Here is a 22547-nt window from a genome sequence, read left to right on the forward strand (position 1 = left end):
GTGGAATATGCCAATACCTTTAACTCCAGACATCATCAAGATAAAGCCTTTAAAACAAAAAGCCATCGTATGTATCAAGTCAATATGAAATTGGAATGCAAAATTAATACTGCTGAGGATTTCCCTCATATCCCATGCTGTTTAACTACCTCTTCTACAGTCCTAGAATCAATTTTTTTTATTAAGAGACAGGGTCTGGGCCGGGCGCGGTGGCTCATGCCTGTAATCCCAGCACTTTGGGAGGCTAAGGAGGGCGGATCACGAGGTCAGGAGATCGAGACCATCCTGGCTAACACAGTGAAACCCCGTCTCTACTAAAAAATACAAAAAATTAGCCAGGCGTGGTGGCGGGCGCCTGTAGTCCCAGTTACTCGGGAGGCTGAGGCAGGAGAATGGCGTGAACCCAGGAGGTAGAGCTTGCAGTGAGCCGAGATTGCACCACTGCACTCAGCCTGGGTGACAGAGCGAGACTCCGTCTCAAAAAAAAAAAAAGACAGGGTCTGTCTTAATAAAAAAAAAGCCTGTTACCCAGGCTGGAGTACAGTGGTGCCATCAAAGCTCAGTGCAGCCTCCAACTCCTGTGCTCAATCCTCTTGCCTCAGCCTCCCCTTCCTGAGTAGCTGCAACCACAGACACATGCCCCAGTATTCAGCTAATTTTTAAATTTTTGTGGAGATGAGGTATTTGTTACTTTCTTGCCCAGGCTGGCCTTGAACTGCTGGCTTTAAGCAATACTCCCACCTTGGTGTGGGATTGCAAGCTTGAGCCACTGTGCCTGGCCTGGAACCAACCTTTATGGCTATCAATACTCCCATCAGTTAACTGTCTCAGGTATCATAATATCCCTTCTTATATGTATCAAAACTCACACTGAACAATGAGTTCTGGGTTGCAAAAGAGAATTTATTTTTGCACCTATCCATAAGCCTTTGTATACAAGTTAAACAAAAACATACATGTCACGCACGTCCGTGTAAAGAGACCACCAAACAGGCTTTGTGTGAGCAACAAGGCTGTTTATTTCACCTGGGTGCAGGCGGGCTGAGTCTGAAAAGAGAGTCAGCGAAGGGAGATAGGGGTGGGGCCGTTTTACAGGATTTGGGTAGGTAGTGGAAAATTACAGTCAAAGGGTTGTTCTCTGGCGGGCTGGGGCGGGGGGTCACAAGGTGCTCAGTGGGGGAGCATCTGAGCCAGGAGAAGGAATTTCACAAGGTAATGTCATCAGTTAAGGCAGGAACCGGCCATTTTCACTTCTTTTGTGATTCTTCAGTTACTTCAGCCATCTGGATATACGTGCAGGTCACAAGGGATATGATGGTTTAGCTTGGGCTCAGAGGCCTGACATTCCTGTCTTCTTATATTAATAAGAAAAATAAAACAAAAGTGTTGGGGTGGCGAAAATTTTTGGGGGGTGGTATGGAGAGATAATGGGTGATGTTTCTCAAGGCTGCTTCTAGCGGGATTAGGGGCGGCGTGGGAACCTAGAGTGGGAGAGATTAAGCTGAAGGAAGATTTTGTGGCAAGGGGCGATATTGTGGGGTTGTTAAAAGGAGCATTTGTCGAATAGAATGATTAGTGATGGCCTGGATGTGGTTTTGTATGAATTGAGAAACTAAACAGAAGACACAAGGTCTGAATTAAGAGAAAGAGAAAAACAGGTATTAAAGGACTAAGAATTGGGAGGACATAGGACATCCAATTAGAGAGTGCCCAAGGGGGTTCAGCGTAATTACTTGCTTTGTTGGTGAGTTTTTGGGCTCTATCCTTGACAGAGTTTTTTTATGTTGTCATACACAAGGCCAGACTGATTTAGGTGAAAACAACACTCTTCATTTAAAAATATACAGAATCCCTTTTTTTTTTTTCTTTTTTAGCAGTGAGTAAGTCGAGGCCTTGGTGATTTTGGAGGAAAGAGAAATGCAAAGCCAGCAATTGTTTGTTAAAGAAGGATTAGAAACAGCTAGGAAAGAGTGAGTGAGATTGACAGTGTGGTGGAGACAGCTGGGGAAGGTATTGTATTTTTAGTAGAAATAGGGTTTTACCATGTTGGCCAGGTAGGTCTCAAACTCCTGACCTCAAGTGATCTGCCCACCTCGGCCTCCCAAAGTGCTGGGATTACAGGCATGAGCCACCATGCCCAGCCAAATTTTTGCTTATTTGGGCTTTTTTTTTTTTTTTTTTTTAACATAGCATTATGGCAATGACTGACTAATACATTAGATATTGCCTACTTCTTCTCCAAAGTGGTTGTCCTAACTTTTACTCAAATCAGCACTATGTTAACATTCCCTTTGCTTTACATCCTCCCTTTGTCAGACTTTTAAACTTTTGAATCGGATAGATGTACAGTATCTTCTTAGTGTGGTTTGAATGTGCATTTTCATAATTACAATAAAATTGAGAATATTTTCATATGTTTATTGACCATTTGAGTTTATGTTCCTATTTATTGACTGTTGATTTCTTATATATATTCTTCCGTACATTTGAAAGATTCAAGAACAAGTTTAAGAAAGAAAGAAAAGCAAAATACAGAATGATATAAGGACACACGTGTGTGTGTGTGTGCTCATGTATATTCAATACATATATATCAATATGTGTTTTTATATGAATAGTTTGTTTTTGTTTTTTAGGCAAAGTCTCACTCTGTCACCCAGGTTGGAGTGCAGGTAATTTTTATTTTTTGAGACGGAGTTTCACTCTGTCGCCCAGGCTGGAGTGAAGTGGCATAATCTCGGCTCACTGCAACCTCCACCTCCCTGGTTCAAGCAATTCTCCTGCCTCAGCCTCCTCAGTTGCTGGGATTACAGGCACACATTACCACGCCCAGCTAATTTTTGTATTTTTAGTAGAGATGGGGGTTCACCATGTTGGCCAGGCTGGTCTCGAACTCCTGACCTCAAGTGATCCACCCCCCCTCGGCCTCCCAAAGTGCTGAGATTACAGGCATGAGCCTGTATAGTGTGTGTGTGTATATATATATATATTTTGTTTTTGTTTTGTTTTGTTTTGTTTTTTGAGACGGAGTTTCGCTGTTGTTGCCCAGGCTGGAGTGCAATGGCGTGATCTCGGCTCATTGCAGCCTCCGCCTCCCGGCTTCATGCGATTCTCCTGCCTCAGCCTCCCAAGTAGCTGGTACAGGCATGTGCCACCACGCCCGGTTAATTTTGTATTTTTAGTAGAGATGGGGTTTCTGCATGTTGGTCAGGCTGGTCTCAAACTCCCGGCCTCAGGTGATCTGCCCATCTTGGCCTCCCAAAGTGCTGGGATTACAGGCATGAGCCACCGCGCCTGGCCCATAGTATATATTTTTTTAAATTAAACAATAAAGTTGAAGAATTATTAAAGGACATTTGTAGTAAACTGTAAAAGCAAACTGACAAAACTTGTAATTTGTTAAAAAAAAAAAAGGTGAAAAAGTAAAGTAAGAATAGTGTTCCTGATGTGGGTGTGGGGAGATGCTTAACATTGCTAGAATTTTGGTGGAAATGAGTAGCACCCAGAGAGTCAGCCAGATGGCCAAGTGAGATTGGATCTCAAGTGAACTCCTGCAAAGTCTTTGATCTCCCTGTGGTAAAGGATTAATGGCCCATGAAGCATAAGTCAATGAACTAGATCAGTAAAACTTCAACCCTGCTGCATGCTAATATTACCTGAGAAACTTCTAAAGTAAGGATCTAGGGCAGGGTGCAGTTCCACATGCCTGTAACCCCAGAACTTTGGGAGGCCAAGGCAGAAAGATTGTTTGAGCCAAGGAGTTCGAGACCATCCTTGGCAACACAGTGAGACCCCCGGTATCCACCAGAAAAAAAAAAAAAAAATAGCCAGGTTTGGTGGCACATGCCTGTAGTCCCAGCATTCAGGAGGCTGAGGCAGGAAGATGGCATGACCCCAAGACTTTGAGGCTGCAGTGAGCTATGATCGCACCACTGCACTCCAGCCTGGGTGACAGAGGGATACCCTATCTCAAATAAATAAATAAATAAATATCTTGGCTGGACGCCATGGCTCACTCCTGTAATCCCAGCACTTTGGGAGGCTGAGGCAGGCATATCACCTGAGGTCGGGAGTTCAAGACCAGCCTGGTCAACATGGTGAAAGCCATCTCTACTAAAAAGAAAAGAAAATTGGCCTGGTGCAGTGGCTCATGCCTGTAATCCTAGCATTTTGGGAGGCTGAGGCGGGTGGATCACCTTAGGTCAGGAGTTCGAGTACAGCATGGCCAAGATGGCGAAACCCTGTCTCTATCAAAAATACAAAAATTAGCCAAGTGTGGTGGTGGGCGCCTATAATCCCAGCTACTCAGGAGGTTTAGCAGGAGAATAGCTTGAACCCGGTGTGACAGGGCAGAGGTTGCAGTGAGCGGAGATCGCGCCACTGCACTCCAGCCTGGGCGACAGATTGAGACTCCATCTCAAAAAAAAATTAGCTGAGCGTGGTGGCAGGCGCCTATAATCTCATCTACTCAGGAGGCTAAGTCAGGAGAATCACTTGAACCCCGGAGGCAGAGGTTGCAGTAAGCCAAGACCGCGCCATTGGCCGGGCGCGGTGGCTCACGCCTGTAATCCCAGCACTTTGGGAGGCCGAGGCGGGCGGATCACGAGGTCAGGAGATCAAGACCATCCTGGCTAACATGGTGAAACCCTGTCTCTACTAAAAATACAAAAAATTAGCCGGGCGTGGTGGCGGGCGCCTGTAGTCCCAGCTACTCCGGAGGCTGAGGCAGGAGAATGGTGTGAACCCGGGAGGCAGAGGTTGCAGTGAGCCGAGATGGTACCACTGCACTCCAGCCTGGGCGACAGAGCGAGACTCCGTCTCAAAAAAAAAAAAAAAAAAAGATCGCGCCATTGTACTCCAGCCTGGGCGATAAGAGTGAGACTCCGTTTCAGAAAAAAAGCTTAGGATGTACCTCAGAATAATTGATCCAAAAATCTTTCTTTTTTTTTCTTTTTTTGAGACGGAGTTTCACTCTTGTTGCCCAGGCTGGAATGCAATGGCGCGATCTCGGCTCACTGTAACCTCCACCTCTGAGGTTGAAGCAATTCTCCTGCCTCAGCCTCCCGAGTAGCTGGGGTTACAGGCGTGTGCCACCATGCCCGGCTAATTTTTTTTTTTCCCCAAGATGGAGTCTTGCTCTGTCCCCCAGGCTGGAGTGCAGTGTTGAGATCTCAGCTCACTGCAACCCCTGCCTCCAAGTTCAAGCAATTCTCCTGCCTCAGCCTCCTGAGTAGCTGGGATTACAGACGCCCGCCACCATGCTCAGCTAATTTTTATATTTTTAGTAGAGATGGGGTTTCACCATGTTGGCCAGGCTGGTCTCGAACTCTTGACCTTGTGATCCTCCCGCCTCGACCTCTCAAAGTGCTGGGATTACAGGCGTGAGCCCCCACACTCGGCCCTAATTTTGTATTTTTAGTAGAGACAGGATTTCACCATGTTGGCCAGTCTGGTCTCAAACTCGTGACCTTAGGTGATGCCTCAGCTTTCCAAAGAGCTGGGATTATAGGCGTGAGCCACCACACCCGGAGTGATCCAAAATCTGAATTGAGATTTTGCAGAAGTCGTGCCTCTGGAAACAGTATTTAAAAAAAAAATTGTCCAGGTGATTACTATGAGCAGACAAGGTTGAAATTCCACAATATAGATGCCAATATGTAAGACATCAAACAACACTGTTTGGGAAAATAAGATTTTTTTGGCCTGCAGTTATTATGAGGTTTTAAACTTTAAGTGTAATGAAATTAGGACAAAGTTGTAGATTTCTGTTAGGTGACATCAACAGAGGGTAAAAGGAAATTATAACTTAAAAAATATTTCTATCTCAAAATAAAGTTTCTTTGAATGACTTTCATTCAATGATTATTTATTGAGAATCAATGACATGCAAAGCCTTGTGCTAGAGCTGTGGGATTTTTAAAAAATGGCTGGGAAATGGCTCTTACCCTCAAAGTTGTTTCAGTCTAGTTAAGAGATACAAAGAATTAGAGACAAAACAGGGCAGAAATAAATGCCAAAGTGGAAGAAACGAAGTGTATGGGAACACTGAGGAGATTAACACTGGTGAAGAGGGTGGGAATGGGGAGTCTTCATGGAGAAACCAGGATTTGAACGCAGTTTGAAGAATGAGCAGCATTTCAGAAGGTGGAGAAGCTGGGAAGGGGCAGAGTCCCAGTCTGGGGAACAGTAGGAGCCACTGTTGATACTTGGAGAGGTATCCATCCAATCTATGCATCTCTCTGTCTCTGTGTCTCTCTCTCTGTTCCTCTCTATATATAGTGTGTATGTAAATTATATACATACATATATAATACATGTTACATATCTGTATACATAAAATAAAATCTTGAGATCCTCAACTCACCATGACAAAGGGAAAGTTAAACTTGGGACCTGAGTCACACAAAAACTGCTTTCCTTTAGTTCACAGATAGCTGTAATTTCACATGCTTACTTTGTCTTATGTAAACTGTAGATGTGAGCACAAGTCAAATGTGTAATTGCCTTTTCCCTGACTCCTTTTTTTCACATGTAAAATGTAGATTCACTGGGTGCTTAAAAAAAAAAAGGCCTCACAAGAATATGACCGCTTGCCTCATTACCTACCCTCTGCCGCTTCTTCCCCTTTCCTCCTTCCCTTCCTGCTCACTATTTCCGCTTTAAATATTGAAGTCCTCCGAACCCTCTTTTGAGGGTTTCCTCTTCTTTTCATATCCTTTGCCCATTTTTCTATTGGGTTATTTTTATTTATCGTTTTGCAAGACAAAGCACAGGACACAGATCCTACTGTGACTTGTGTTTCTTCTTCCTGGGTGTGTCCTCAACCTTGACAAAATAAACCTCTAAATCAATTATTTGCCTCAGTCACTTTTTGGTTTACACATATACATATGGGTTATATACATATACATATGTACATGTATATACACATCACATAGGAATAAACTAAGCAATTGTTTGGGTATATAATTACATATATATTTGATATATTTATGGAGGACCTATCTAATGTCTCTAATATACTGTGTCTATTTATTTATACATTCACATATATGTTTGTGTGTTGCGGGGGTGTGGGGTATGTTTACTCTTTTCCCCCGCTTTTTGAGACAGTCTCACACTGTCACCCAGGCTGGAGTGCAGTGGCTCCACTGCAGCTCACTGCAGCCTCAACCTTCCCAAGTTCAGGTGATCCTCCTGCCTCAGCCTCCCAAGTTGCTGGGACTACAGGCATGCACCACAACATCTGGCTAATTTTGCTATTTTTTTCTTCTTCTTCTTTTTTTTTTTTTTTAGAGAGATGGGGTTTTGCCATGTTGCCCAGCCTGGTCTGAAACTCCTGAGCTCAAGTGATCGTCTCCTCCCACCTCAGCCTCCCAAAGTGCGGAAATTACAGGCAAGAGCTGCACCCAGCCATGTTTACTCTCTAATGTGTGTTGTTTTTATTCAAAAACTGCAGTGCTCCCTTGCCTGAAACCTTTTGCAGACTTCCCATCACTTACCGGGTTAAGTGCAAGCTCTTTGCCTGTTGCGCCAAGCCTATGTGGTCAGGGCTCTGTTTGCCTCTGTCTCCAGCCTTCTCTTGAGCCACTCTGGCCACTTTTCAGAGGGATCTACAGTGGGGGAACGAAAGAAAGAATGCTCCTCCTGAGCACCTTCTTCCAAAGTGGAGTCCTTTCAGCAGTTGTTTTCAAGATTAATATGTCAACAAGACTACTGTTACAGGGATAATGAAAAGACCTTAGGGGAAGCAGCATGAAAGCAAGACTGTGACCATGCAGAGAGGGAGCCAAAGGGCAATGCCTTCTTTATGGGCTCCCTCCCACACTACCCAGAGACAGAGCCACCTCCTCCCAGACTGACTTCCCCATGTTTGGACTTAGCTTTGATGCTGCTGTAGTCATACTGAGAACTTTATAAACTGCCCCTAGGTCCTTGAACAAGCCCAGCTGTTTCACATCTCTGTGACTGTACTCATTTTCATCCCTCAAGCTTGAATGCCCTTACCTACCATGGTCTGCTAGGCAAACTCTAATCATCTTTCAAAACTCAGCTCATGCAACATTGTTTTTTTCCATGTGGAGACCACAGTGAGATATTCCCCACCCAGTGATTTAGAAATAAGATTGCCACAAAATAACACCAGCAAACCACATATATCATAAACGCGATTAGCCCTCTGGAGGAGAAAACCAAGCAATTGTGTATAAATATGTAAATAATTTAGAAATTCTCTAATTTCAAAAAGAAAAAAAGGAGAAAGTGGTGTTGGATACTCTCAAGGACAGAATATGGAAAGAACTCCAATGTAATAAACAGAAAACCATTAATTAATTGTATTTGCCTTGATTACAGCAAGATCATGTGAAGAAAAGGGTCTGGTAAACCCAGGAAACACAGAGTTAGGGTGGGGATGGGGGTAGATGGGTACACATCATTAATTTCCACTGCTATATATTAGCCTAGCATATGAAATCAATTATAATTTATCTTCTACTGGTAGAAATTGATGGTTTTCAATAGTTAGCCATAATAAACAATGCTCAATGAGCATTTCATTCATGTCTCCTTGTGCTCATGAGCTCATATTTTCTTTCTTGAGACGGAGTTTCACTCTTGTCACCCAGGCTGGAGTACAATGGCGCGATCTCAGCTCACTGCAACTTCTACCTCCCTGGTTCAAGCGACTGTCCTATCTCAGCCTCCCAAGTAGCTGGGATTACAGGCGCGTCACCACACCCAGCTAAGTTTTGGATTTTTAGTAGGGATGGAGTTTCACCATATTGGCCAGGTTAGTCTCAAACTCCTGACCTCAGGTGATTCGTCTGCCTCGGCCTCCTAAAGTGCTGGGATTCGAGGCGTGAGCCACTGTGCCCAGCCTCATATTTTCTTTTTTTTCTCTTCTTTAAAATCAAGAGAGGGTCTTGCTCTGTCTCTCAGGCTGAAGTACAGTGGGGTGATCATGGCTCACTGCAGCCTTAACCTCCTGGGCTCAAGTGATCTTCCCACCTTGGCCTCCCAAAATGGAGATTATAAGCGTGGGATTGTAAGCGTGAGCCACTGCGTCTGGCCTAGCTCATATTGTCCCAAGGTATGTGTTCAGGAGTGGGATTACTGAATAATAAAGTGTGAACCTATTCATCTTTATTAGATAAGGTCAAATTGTTCTTTAAAGTGGTTGCACCAGTTTATGCGGCCACCAACAGTGTAACAGTGTTCTTGTTACAGAAATGAAAGACACCTGAGGAAAATGTAAGCAGAGAGGCTTTTTGTGGTTGACCTAGAGTGATGCATGAAGTAGGTATTCAGAGTAACATTTTGCATTATAGTGAGAAACAATCTGAATTTTAGTAGTAAATTGTTTTACCAATTGTACATTTATGTAATAAATTAATAAAATGCTGTAAGTTTAAAAAACAAACAAAAACAACAAAAACAACAACAAAAAAATAGCGTTCTTGTTGTTCTGTATTCTTACCAACACTTGGTATTGTCAGACTTAAATGTTTGATAATTGGATGCAATGGAAATGCTATCTCATTATTGTTCTACTTTGCATTTCTTTGGTTAGTACTGAGATTTCACATCTTTTTATATGGCTATGGCCACTTGAATTTCCTCTTATTTTCATATCCTTTGCCCACTTTTGTACTGGATTATTTTTATTCTATTTATTGTTTTGTGGGAATTCCATATGTCTATGTATGTATTGTGAGAGAGAGAGAGAGAGAGTGTGTGTGTGTGTGTGTGTGTGTGTGTGTGTGTGTGTGTTGGGTTTATTCTCCTGGTTCATAGCTTGCTTATTCATTTAAAAAAAAAAACCTCTCTGTTCCTCAATTTTCTCATCTGTAAATGTGTATGTAAATTATATACATTATTAAACAATGTATGTAATGTCCTATAACAGTACCTAGCATATTAGAAAACACAATATAAACATTTGCTTGTATTATTATCAGCATCTTTGGATGAAGTTTTAATTATTTTTAAAGTATCTTTTAATAAATAGAGAAATTAAAATTTTAATGCCTACATTTATAAATATTTTCCTCTATAGCTTATGCTTTTTATATCTAACACTGGCTTTTTATATTTACTCTATGCTTTGCCCATTCTCTTTTTTTTTTTTTTGAGATGAAGTCTCACTCTTTTTTCCCCAGGCTGAAGTGCAATGGCACGATCTTGGCTTACTGCAACCTCCGCCTCCCAGGTTCCAGCGATTCTCCTGCCTCAGCCTCCTGAGTAGCTGGGATTACAGGCACCTGCCACCACACCTGACTAATTTTTGTATTTTTAGTAGAGACGGAGTTTCACCATGTTGGCTAGGCTGGTCTCAAACTCCTGACCTCAGGTGATCCACTCGCCTCAACTTCCCAAAGTGCTGGGATTACAGGCATGAGCCACCGTGCCCGGCCAATGCTTTGCGCATTCACGAAGTGTTTTCACTAATTGAAAACTTTCCCATCAAACACTCTAGAATCTATTATAATTGGGAGAATATGGAGAATACCTAAATCATTTCCTAAGTGTTTTAAAGGATGATGATTGCTTTTCTAGATATCATCATGAATACCAAAGCCATGCTTTTGTTCACTGAGTTTAACTCCCTAAAACAAGGGTTTTTAAAATCATGATGTCTTGTTGAACACATACTGGTGGTTCTTGTATGGTATTCAAATTTTAAATTTCTATTTCTGTATGTGCTTTTTTTCTTAGAGACAGGGTCTTGCTCTATCACCCAGACTGGAGTGCAGTGATGCAGTTATAGCTCACAGCAGCCTCAAACTCTTTGGCTCAAGTGATCTCCCTGCCTTAGCCTTCTGCATAGGTAGGACTACCGGCACACACCATCACACTTGGCTAATTAAAAAAAAAATGTTTTTATAGAGACAGGGTCTTGCTATATTCCCCAGGCTGGTCTTGAACCCTTGGGCTCACGTGATACCCCCTGCCTTGACCTCCTGAGTAGCTGGGCCACCAAGCCCCACCTTTTTGTTTCTGTTATTTTCTTCCCCCATTTTTTCCCAGCATTGCAAATGCCCCCATCTTTTCAAATGCTGATATTTTACTTATATACCAGAATTATTCTTCTTTTACTCTTGTAAATCTTACTAGACTTCAACAAATATATAAATACTTTAACAAAGACCACGTCTGTTCAGTGAGCTGAGTTGATTTGCTGTTCTGTGAAATAAAACCTTACACATCACATTAGCTATGTATTGTAGTCATCTTGCAATGTCACTCTTAGTGATGAAAATCACTTCCAGAACCCTCAGTGGTGGATTATTTCCTTCTGTTCTACTGAAGACATGATAATACTTGTTGGGAAAATTTCATGGCTACAAAAGTGGTAGCAGTCACTATTCAGTGGAATTGTTGGCAGATACAGAGCAACCCTGTTGAAACACAGAGAGATCAAGACGGGCTATAAGCCACAAAACTTCACAGGACAACTTTGATACCTGAAATAAATGCTATGGAAGTTCCAAAGCTCCTTCCTGAAGAGAAGTCCTGCTTTGCCTAGATACCTCAGGGATTTGTCTCCAGAGCTCCAGTAGTTTCTGCTTAGCCATAAATTTTAAGAATTTTAGCTTTCATGATTAGTTGTCTACTTTGCCACCTTCTTGGGATTTACAAAGAAAAATGCTTGCACACCAAACCCTCCTCAGAGAATATATATGGAATTTTCTGTCATTCAATTTATATCAGAAATTTAGCCCAAATAATATATATTCCAGGAAGATTACTGTATTAGTCCATTCTCGCATTGCTATAAAGAAAATCTGAGACTGGGGAATTTATAAACAAAAGAGGTTTAATTGGCTCATGGTTCTGCAGGCTGTGCAAGAAGCTTGCAGCATCTACTTCTGGAGAGGCCTCAGGGAGCTTTTACTCCTGGCAGAAGGCAAAAGAAGAGCAGGTGTCTTACATGGCAGAAGCAGAAGCAAGAGAGTAAAGGGGGAGGTGCTACACACTTGTAAACAACCACATCTCATAAGAACTCACTCACTGTTGCAAGGGCAGTACCAAGGGAATGGTGCTAAGCCATTCATGCAAAATTCCCCCGCATGATCCAATCACCTCCCAATAGGCCCCACCTCCAACATTGGGGATCACCTCTCCCACCAGGCCCCGCCTCAGATATTGGGGATTACAATTTTTTTTTTTTTTGAGATGGAGTCTTGCTCTGTCATCCAGGCTGGAGTGCAGTGGCACAATCCCAGCTCACTGCAACCTCTGCCTCCTGGGTTCAAGCAATTCTCCTGCCTCAGCCTCCCAAGTAGCTGAGATTACAGGTGCATGCCACCAAGCCGGGTTAATTTTTGTATTTTTAGTAGAGATGGGGGTTGGTCAGGCTGGTCTTGAACTCCTGACCTCAGGTGATCCACCCGCCTCATTCTCCCAAAATGCTGGGATTACAGGTGTGAGCCACCACACCCAGCCAATAATTCTTTTTATTTTATTTATTTATTTATTTATTTATTTTTATTTTATTATTATTATACTTTAAGTTTTAGGGTACATGTGCACAATATGCAGGTTAGTTACATATGTATACATGTGCCATGCTGGTGTGCTGCACCCATTAACTCGTCATTTAGCATTAGGTATATCTCCTAAAGCTATCCCTCCCCACTCCCCAAGAATTCTTAGTCATCCTTAATCCTTCTCTTTTTCTCATGCTCTGTGTCTGTCAGGATTTGCTAGGTTATGCTGCAGTAACAAACAGCCCCAACTCTCAATGGCTTAACACAACAGAAGTTTATTTCTCATCCTAACTACTGAGTTAGAGCAGACGCTCTGCTCCACTCTCAAACCAACTCTAGGATCCAGGATGATGGAGCAGCCACAATCTGCAACATTTTTGTTTACCACAAGAGTCAGAAAAGAGTTCCAAAGGGTTTCCTGTTGGCAATTTGATGCTTAGCCTAGAAGTGACACATATTACCTCTGCTAGAGCTGTTAATAACTGGCTCAACCACCCAACCACAGGAGGTCAGAAAGTATAACACTACCAGGTGTCCAATAGAAAAATTAATAAGCAGCATTATTGACTACTACACTCAGGATGGACTCCCCAGAAGTAGACCCTAAGATGAAGATTCATGTGAGAGCAATTTATTCGGAAGTGTTTTGAGGAAAAAACAATAAGGAATCAGGGAAGAGAGACAGGGAAGGAAGGAAGCCAAGCAAGTGTTCAAGAGCAAACAAAATCCCATAGAGGATAAGGTAGGCTCAATCCCACAGAGCAATTCTGGAGACAGTCATACCTCAGAGCGGTCTGGACTGGGGCAAGGAAGCTGGAGACTTTAAACTTCTGTACCAGGAGTCATTTGTAGGGCCCTTGCCAGGGAGATGTAAACCCTAGGCATTTCTGGATCTCCTTGCAGATATTGGCTGTTGGAAGTGAAAACATGGCATGAAATTGGTAAAGGGATCCAAAAGCACAAAAGTGGAGCATTAATACACTTCTGTTACACAAACCCCAATCCTATAAATCACATTATCCTACTAGCTCTATATCCCATACATTTCCTAAATCATCCATTTTTCTCTATTCTCTAATTGTCCCTCCCTCAAGTACCCCTTGAGCCTGTCATCCTTGGTCTTCTGCCCTATTGCAACCAGGATACTGAACTGCACTTTTGATATCTCTAATCTACTCTTCACACTGTAGTCAGATTGTTCTTTCTGATCCAAGTGGCTTTTCCCTGGTGATATCTCAAATTCATCATGCCTGCTTTCTATTCAGTATACAATCCCCATTAAGCAGATGAGAAAACTGAGGCACAGAGAAGTTAAGTAACTTGCCAATAGTCATTCAGTTAGTAACTGGCAGAGCCAGACTGTGAATCTAGTATCCATTAACCCCAAAGCCTTTCCTATTGTATTTCACTGATCCTGGATTGTGATTAATTTGCCCACTTTGTCCTGATTACTACCAGTTCTATAAGCTTCACATACAATTTGTTTAAAACCAAATTTATCATCTTACTTACCTCCCTCACCAAATGCCTCTGCTCCTGAGATTCCAATGTCAATAATGGCCCTGCTATCCTTTGGTGTTATGCTTGACTCTTCCTTCTTCTTTCTCTATTGTTTGAAGTTATTTCCACAGTTATTGTACTTCTGACTCCTAATGCCCATTGCTGCAGGTAGGCCTGGCTTTATATGCCCTAAGCTGTGGTATACAGAGTACCCAACAAGTACCCATATGTGGGAGGTCCTGGAGCTGTGCCCAAAGAGGGCTCATTAGCAGTAGATAGCATTCCAACAATACTCTGCGCCAAGAAATGAGATCAGAATCCAGGGAATGAAGCCAAACTTGGCTAGTCTGTTGCCAAGCTGGAAGTTCTTGGACACGGTTATAAGCAAAGGGAAAGAAGCCAGTAGAGAGGGAGAGATTGACTGATGATGAAACTGAGAGAAGCAGTAATGGATGGGGCAGGGTCCTGGGGGAGGCGATCAAAAGGATCGCCGTATGTCTCCTTGGGAGTGGGCTGGTTCTGATGATTGGGGTCTTGGGGAGAGGGAGTTATATGCATGGCATATACTAGGTGCTCAAAATAGTACTGAGAGGCGTTAATGATATCTGTCCTTGAAGATCGAGACCATCCTGGGCAACATGGTGAAACTCCGTGTCTACTAAAAATACAAAAAATAGCTGGATGTGGTGGTGGGCGCCTGTAATCCCAGCTACTTGGGAGTCAGAGCCAGGAGAATGGCTTGAACCCAGGAGGCGGAGGTTACAGTGAGCCAAGATCATGCTACTGCACTCCAGCCTGGTCACAGAGGAAGACTGTCTCAAAAAAAAAAAAAAAAGAAAAAAAAGAAAAGGAAATATCTGTCCTCTATTCCTGGAGGCAACTATTTTGAACTAACTTAGCTTAAAAAAAAAAACAAAAAAAAACAAAAAAAACCCAAAAAACCCTGACATTAACTTTCATATTTCTAAGTAGTATACTTATATTATTTCTTGACTTATCAACTTGAAACTACTAATTTCCTATTAGGTGGATGGATCACTTTGTCTGTTATATTACTACCCTCTACTTCTCCTCCTCTTTTCCCACAGTTTAAAAAAATCTTGGATAAATCAGTGGTCCGTGTAATATGTAAATATGTAATGTCAATGTAACTATGGTTTGGTGATGATCCTATTCGTTGTATATTTTATCTTGTACAAATTTTTATTTTTTCTGGAATTAATAGTTTAAGACATTATGTATTCCATGTACCTATCTTTAATGTTTCCTGAAGTGGTCCATCTGCTCTGTCAATTTTTGAGGGTTTTTTTCCCCCACCATGCTGAAGCATATTAGGTAATTGATCGTTTCCATATTTTCTTGGAGTCCTCCCTCCCACAGTGCCTTTCCCACTGCTGCAGCCTGGACCAGGTGCTGCAAAGCCCTAGTGCACAAGCTGTCACCCTGAGATCTTCTGTACTACCACACTGTTTCTTTTCTGTTGGGGCTCCTTTTTCTGGATCCAGTGAATTCTTTTCCTTGGTTTGGTCCACCCACATACTTGATTCATGGTTTGGCTGGGTAATTTTAAGGGCAGTACTCCACTATCTTCCACTATCCAGTTGTGTTGAGAAGTCTTATGGCACTCTGCTTCTTGTTATTTTGTTATTTTAGAGGTGAGAGCGCTTTCTTAGAAAATAATGGTAGTCTCGCCGGGCACGGTGGCTCACGCCTGTAATCCCAGCACTTTGGGAGGCCGAGGCGGGTGGATCACGAGGTCAGAAGATCGAGACCATCCTGGCTAACACGGTGAAACCCCGTCTCTACTAAAAACACAAAAAATTAGCCGGGCGTGGTCGCGGGCGCCTGTAGTCCCAGCTACTCCGGAGTCTGAGGCAGGAGAATGGCGTGAACCCGGGAGGCGGAGCTTGCAGTGAGCCGAGATCGCGCCACTACACTCCAGCCTGGGTGACAGAGCGAAACTGTGTCTCAAAAAAAAAAAAAAAAAAAAAGAAAAAGAAAAAAAAAAGAAAAGAAAATAATGGTAGTCTCAGTTGACAGTGTTCAAATTGACTGTATTATGGACCAGTGGAGCTGGGAGGGACCCTCAGTGTCCCCTAGTTTAATACCCCTGTAATACAAAGAAGGTACCTGACATCCAGAGAAATGATGCGCCTTGTGTAAAGTTGTAGTTAGGACGGGACAGAGCCAGGACTCTAAATTCTGTCCTCCGGCCATAATTCCAACACTTTCTCCAATGTTATGTATGTAGTCTAAAATGCTAAAAAAAAAAAAAAAAAAAAAAAAAAAAAAAGCATTTGCGTTTTTGTTTCCTTTTGTTTTACTTTTTATTATGGCAAATTTCAAACATATACAGATACAGAATAGTTTAATGAATTCCCATGTTCTCATCACGCAGATTCAAACATGAATACATGGCCAATTTTGTATCACTTAAACTCCTGCAGACAAGCCCTGCCCCATCCTGCTGTTTTGAATAAAATCCATCATGATATCTCACTGTAAAAAGGCCTGTTCTTTGCGAAAAAATAACCATAATATGATTGGTTGCTCTGCAGAGTTTTACAATTGCCTTTTTATTCCTGATGTCCTGAAATATTCACGATATTAGACACTTAGAAGGGCCTTTCAATGTGGAGAGTCTGCATCCCTCTGGGAAATTTTCTTGTATTTTGCCTTGAAAATATTTCTGTCTTTCCTTTTTTTCTTTTCTCTTTCTATAATTCTTGATCTTCTGGATTGATCCTCTACATTCATCTCCTTTCTGTTCTGTTTTTTATTTTTTATTCTTTGGATACAGAGTCTCGCTCTGTCGCCCAGGCCAAAGTGCAGTGGCATGATCTCAGCTTACTGCAACCTCCGCCTCCCAGGTTCAAGTGATTCTCCTGCCTCAGCTTACCGACTAGCTGGGATTACATATGTGTGCAACCACGCCCGGCTAATTTTTGTATTTTTAGTAGAGACGGGGCTTCACCATGCTGGCCAGGCTGGTCTCGAACTCTTGAACTCCAGTGATCTGCCCATCTCGGCCTCCCAAAGTGCTGGGATTACAGGCATGAGCCACTGCGCCCAGCCCTGTTCTGTTTCTTTATCTCTATTTTTTCCCCATTTACTGGAAGATAAATGGCTTCCCAGCTCTTTGACTAAAATGTTCAATTTCAGCTTCCCTAAGTTTAAATTTCCAAGTGTTCTTTCTTGGCTTTATTTTTTATTTTTTATTTTAGACTGAGTCTCACTCTGTTGCCCAGGCTGGAGTGCAGTGGTGTGATCTCAGGTCACTGCAACCTCTGCCTCCTGCATTCAAGTGATTCTCCTGCCTCAGACTCCCGAGTAGCTGGGACTACAGGCACCCGCCACTATGCCCAGCTAATTTTTGTATTTTCAGTAGAGACAGGGTTTCACCATGATGGCCAGACTGCTCTCGAACTCCTGACCTCAGGTGATCTGCCCGCCTCGGCCTCCTAAAGTGCTGGGATTACAGGCGTGAGGCACCATATCCTTGGTTTATGGATGCAAAAACTTCTGTTATTTTCCCATGGTATTATTTGCTTATAGGTTTTGTTTTCTTTTGTTCTTATTTGCTTCCATCAGGTTAATTTTTCTGCTTGTTTTGTTCTCTCTCTTCGTATTGGGATTTTACCAATTTTTTTTGTTTCTAATATGCAATATGCAGCATCCAGATGCCATTTAAATATCAATATGAATTGTGACCTAAAAAATAGGAAGAAAAAAAAGAAAAGATACTGAATGATCAAGTTCAGAGAGGTGTAATAAGAATAATATACATGTGGGAAGAATCCTATGCAATGCCATTAAAATAACTTTTGAGCCATGCAGAAAGACAATTACAATATCTTAAGAAAGCCACAAAGGTAACATCTAAACAAGGAGCAAATAGCAAGTTATAACCTATGTGAAGTAAAGTTAAAATGAAATAGCAGATTCAAATCAGACAGAAGAAGAGCTAATGTGTGACTTCAATCCAGAGAATGTGTAAGCCCACGACCAGTCCTTTTAAGGTAGAAAGCCCTATTTATAGGCTCATAATGTCTCAGTAGTGACTTATGAAAAAATCAAATTCTGAGTCTCAGCTAAAAAAATCTCTCTGGTTGATGTATAACTTCAGTAGGCTGAGATAAGGACCTCCATGTGCTTAGGTATAATTGTGTTTTTTTGTTTTTCTTAATTAAAAAAATTTATTATTATTATTTGAGTTGGACTCCACTCTGTCACCCATGCTGGAGTGCAGTGGCGTGATCTTGGCTCACTGCAAACTCCGCTTCCCAGATTGAAGCCATTCTCCTGTCTCAGCCTCCTGAGTAGCTGGAACTACCAGCATGTGCCACCATGCCTGGCTAATTTTTGTATTTTTAGTAGAGACAGGGTTTCGCCATATTGGTCAGACTGGTCTTCAACTCCTGACTTCAGGTGATCCACCTATCTCGGCCTCCCAAAGTGCCAGGATTACAGGCATGAGCTACTGTGCCCGGCCAGGTATAATTGTTTTATGGATATCATTTGACTCTGGAAAAATTAGAATTTAGCATTAAAAATAAAGTATACGGCCGGGCATGGTGGCTCATACCTGTAATCCCAGCACTTTGGGAGGCTGAGGTGGGTGGATCACCTGAAGTCAGGAGTTCAAGACCAGTCTGACCAATATGGCGAAACCCTGTCTCTACTAAAAATACAAAAATTAGCCAGGCGTGGTGGCACGTGCTTAGTCCCAGCTACTCAGGAGGCTGAGACAGGAGAATGGCTTGAATCTGGGAAGCGGAGTTTGCAGTGAGCCAAGATCACGCCACTGCACTCCAGTATGGGTGACAGAGTGAGAGTCCATCTCAAATACAAAAATACAAAAATTAGCCAGGTATGGTGGTGCATGCCTGTAATCCCAGCTACTCGGGAGGCTGAGGCAGGAGAATAGCTTGAACCCGGGAGGCAGAGATTGTAGTGAGCCAAGATCCTGCCACTGCACTCCAGCCTGGGACAGAGCTAGACTCCGTCTCAAAAAAAACAAAAAGTATATTACATCTATAATATTAATATTCTTATGTTAAGATTAAAAATACATTATTAGGCTGGGCGCGGTGGCTCACGCCTGTAATCCCAGCACTTTGGGAGGCCAAGACGGGCGGATCACGAGGTCAGGAAATTGAGACCATCCTGGTTAACACAGTGAAACCCTGTCTCTATTAAAAATACAAAAATTAGCCACGGGTGGTGGCGGGCGCCTGTAGTCCCAGCTACTCCGGAGTCTGAGGCAGGAGAATGGCATGAACCTGGGAGGCGGAGCTTGCAGCGAGCCGAGACCACGCCACTGCATTCCAGCCTGGGTGACAGGGCGAAACTCCGTCTCAAAAAAAAAAAAAAAAAAAGGACATCAGTTTTTTATTGTTGTATAACTAATTACCACAAACCCAGTGGCTTAAGTGTATTACTGCATAGTTTCTGTGGATGAGGAGTCTAGGCTGGGTCTTCTGCTCAGGCCCTTGTAAAGCTGTGCTCGAGTTACTGGTTGTATTTTGATCTAGAGGCTCAACTGAGGGAAAATTCACTTCCCAGCTCATTCAGGTTGTTAGCAGAAATCAATTCCTTGCTGTTTTGCAGCTGAGGACCCTGGCTTTTTGCTGGCTGTTGGCTGGAGGCCTGTATCAGGTTCTAGAGGCATCCACAGGTTCCTAGAAGAGTCCGCAGTTCCTTACCACACAGGCTTCTCCAACATGCCTGCTTATTCCATCAGGCCCACAAGGAGCATTTCACTTCTGTCTGCTGAAACAGAGTCTCATATAACATAACATAACATAACATAACATAACATAACATAACATAACATAACATAACAAACGTAACGTAACGTAACATAATCACAGGAGTGACATCCCATCATCTTTTCCATATAATACAACCTGATCAAGGGACTGACATCCCATCACCAGTCCTGCCAACACTCAAGGGCAGGGAGTGTGGCAAAGCATGAATACCAAGAGATAAGGAATCACGGGCACTTACCTTACAGTCTGTCTGCTAAAAAGAATGATCTGTATATGTTTGGTACTTAAAGTCCCTGTAGTGTTTAAGAAAATTTGGCAAATTGGAGTATCTAAGAGACCAGCTTTGTGGTCCCAATTTAGAATGAATGAGTAATTGATTTAGATTTGGAATTTTGAGTTGAGTTGTAAGAGAGTTTTAATAAGTTTAGAAATTATATTGGACCATTTAAAACAACTTAACATCCACCATACTTACATGTTTACTGTCTTACGAATATTAGAATTTCTAAGTACTTGAAAGGGTAGCAGCAGCCAGTCTCCAAAGATGGCCACCATCAATGCATGTTCTTCGTGTATGTGCATTCTGCTCCTGATAACAAGAAGAGGAGTTTCCTTCTCCTCTCTCCTCTGGGCTGACCTTGTAACTGGCCCTGATCAAGAGAATGTGGCAGAAGGGACATTCTGGTCATTAAGCCCAGGCCCTGCAAGGACTGATAGCTTCTACTTTCTGCCTCTTACAATGCTCTTTCTTGGAACCTAGCTGTTATGCCATGATAAAATAAATGATATACCTGATTGCAGAATATATAATGCACTCTTTTTATTTATTTATTTTTTTTTGAGACAGAGTCTTGCTCTGTCACCCAAGCTGGAGTGCAGTGGTGTGATCTTGGGCTCACTGCAACCTCTGCCTCCCGGATTCAAGTGACTCTCCTGCCTCAGCCTCGCCAGTAGCTGGAACTACAGGCCCACGCCAGAATGCCTGGCTAATTTTTGTGCTTTTAGGAGAGACAGGGTTTCACCACGTTGGCCAGACTGGTCTTGAACTCCTAACCTCAAGTAATCTGCCCGCCTCCGCCTCTTAAGTGTTGGGATTACAGGCGTGAGCCACCACACTCGGCCATATAATGAATTCTTAAAACTCAATAACAAGAAGACAAACAACCTGGTTAAAATAAATGGGCAAATTTTTCAACAGACATTACTAAAGAAGACATAGGAATGGATAAAAAGCATATGAAAAGATGCTTGGCCAGTCATGGTGGTACACGTCTGTAATCCCAGCTACTCGGGAGGCTGAGGCAGAATTGCTTGAACCCAGGAGATCCCAGTAAGCTGAGATCGCACCGATGCACTCCAGCCTGGGCAACAGAGTGAGACTTCATCTAAAAAAAATAAAAAAATAAAAAAAAGAAGAAAAGAAAAGGTGCTTAACATCATCAGTTATTAGGGAAATGCAAATTTGCAAATTAAAACCACAATGAGCTGCCTACCATTTCACACCTACTAGAATGGCTTTAGTTGAAAAGACAGACAATAACTAGTGTTCGTGAAGATGTAGAGAAAATGGAACCTTCCTTCATGGCTGAGACAAAGTAAAATGTTGTAGCTACTTTGGATAAAAGTTTGCCAGTTTCTTAAAAAGTTAAACATGTGTACTAAACATGGCTTTTTATTCTGATGTTTTGACATCAGGGGCCTTACAGATCCTGTGTAGACTGCAACTCCCAGGGCTAGCCAACACCTAGAAATAGCAAACAACTCATCTTCCATGTGCAAACCAACGAATCCTAAGCCTATTTCCTAATTACCTCCTCAGTTGAGCTCTCACACATCTTGCCACTATTCCCCTGCCCTAATCACCTCAGGGCTGGGTGCCAGATAATTACAAATATTCTCTATGCCCCAGAGTTCAGTTCAAATTGGCCAATCCTAAACCTGCTTACCTGGCCTCACCTGTTCCTGGGGAAACCAGAATAAAGGCTCTTGCTCCCGCTGTCCCGACTGACCCTGCCGCTCCCCCATGTGGCCTGGCATGGTGGAGCACACACTCTCCTGTCCTGGGAACTGTCTCAGTCTGTCTTTTCAAGAGCAGTCATCTCCTGATCTGTTGGCCTCTCCATACCTGGATAAAAATAAAATCAACATTTTAAAGCAATATGTTTACCATATGATCCAGCAATTTCATTCTTAGGTATTTACCCCAGTGAAATGAAAACATATTTCTATACAAAAATCTATACATGAATGTTCATAGCAGCATTATACGTAATAACTACAAAGTGGAAACCACCCACATATCCATCCAATGATGAATAGAGAAACAATGTGTTCTATCCATACAATGGAATACTTATTCAGAAATGAAAGGACTGAACTATTTATAAATGCTAAAACATAGATGAACCTGAAAATAATTATGAGTGAAAGGAACCAGGCACAAAAGACCACACACTGTATGATCACTTTTATAGAAATGTTCAGAAAAGACAAATCTATGGAGAAAAAAGAGTACATTTGTGATGGCCTTGGAGCTGCAGTGGGAACAGGGGTTGATTGCTAACGAGCATGATGGTTCTCTTTAGGATTATACAAATATTCATAAATATTCTAAAACTGGATTGCAGTGATGAACAGTCTGTAAGTTTGTTAACCATCATTGAATTGTACACTTAAAATAGGTGAGTTTCTTTTTTTTTTAAGATTTTCTTTTTAATTATACTTTAAGTTCTGGGGTACATGTGCAGAATGTGCAGGTTTGTTACATAGCTACATGTGTGCC

General features: G+C 42.3%; 1 long non-coding RNA gene and 1 other non-coding gene across 3 annotated transcripts, besides 2 other annotated features; both read right to left on the bottom strand.

Moving 5' to 3' along the window:
• Positions 839–966, bottom strand: LOC124900209 (small nucleolar RNA SNORA40). Its single transcript, XR_007059158.1, has one exon. It is a non-coding gene; the product is annotated as a small nucleolar RNA SNORA40 (small nucleolar RNA).
• Positions 877–1749: an enhancer, noted in NCBI's record as "NANOG-H3K27ac hESC enhancer chr5:74178519-74179391 (GRCh37/hg19 assembly coordinates)". NCBI's record gives its function as "activates a minimal SCP1, AML or CMV promoter by ChIP-STARR-seq in primed H9 embryonic stem cells {active_cell/tissue: H9 hESC(primed)}" and the evidence as "EXISTENCE:reporter gene assay evidence [ECO:0000049][PMID:30033119]".
• Positions 7384–16252, bottom strand: LOC105379039 (uncharacterized). Of its 2 annotated transcripts, XR_001742748.2 has the most exons (4): positions 16122–16252; positions 14004–14097; positions 13275–13401; positions 7384–7613 (listed from the first exon to the last, which is right to left on the bottom strand). It is a non-coding gene; the product is annotated as an uncharacterized LOC105379039 (long non-coding RNA). The 2 variants fall into 2 exon arrangements; XR_001742747.2 differs by lacking the exon at positions 16122–16252 and having other exon boundaries at positions 14004–14149.
• Positions 18457–19278: an enhancer, noted in NCBI's record as "H3K27ac-H3K4me1 hESC enhancer chr5:74196099-74196920 (GRCh37/hg19 assembly coordinates)". NCBI's record gives its function as "activates a minimal SCP1, AML or CMV promoter by ChIP-STARR-seq in primed H9 embryonic stem cells {active_cell/tissue: H9 hESC(primed)}" and the evidence as "EXISTENCE:reporter gene assay evidence [ECO:0000049][PMID:30033119]".

Source organism: Homo sapiens, chromosome 5, assembly GCF_000001405.40.
Source record: "Homo sapiens chromosome 5, GRCh38.p14 Primary Assembly".
Taxonomy (NCBI): Eukaryota; Metazoa; Chordata; class Mammalia; order Primates; family Hominidae; genus Homo; species Homo sapiens.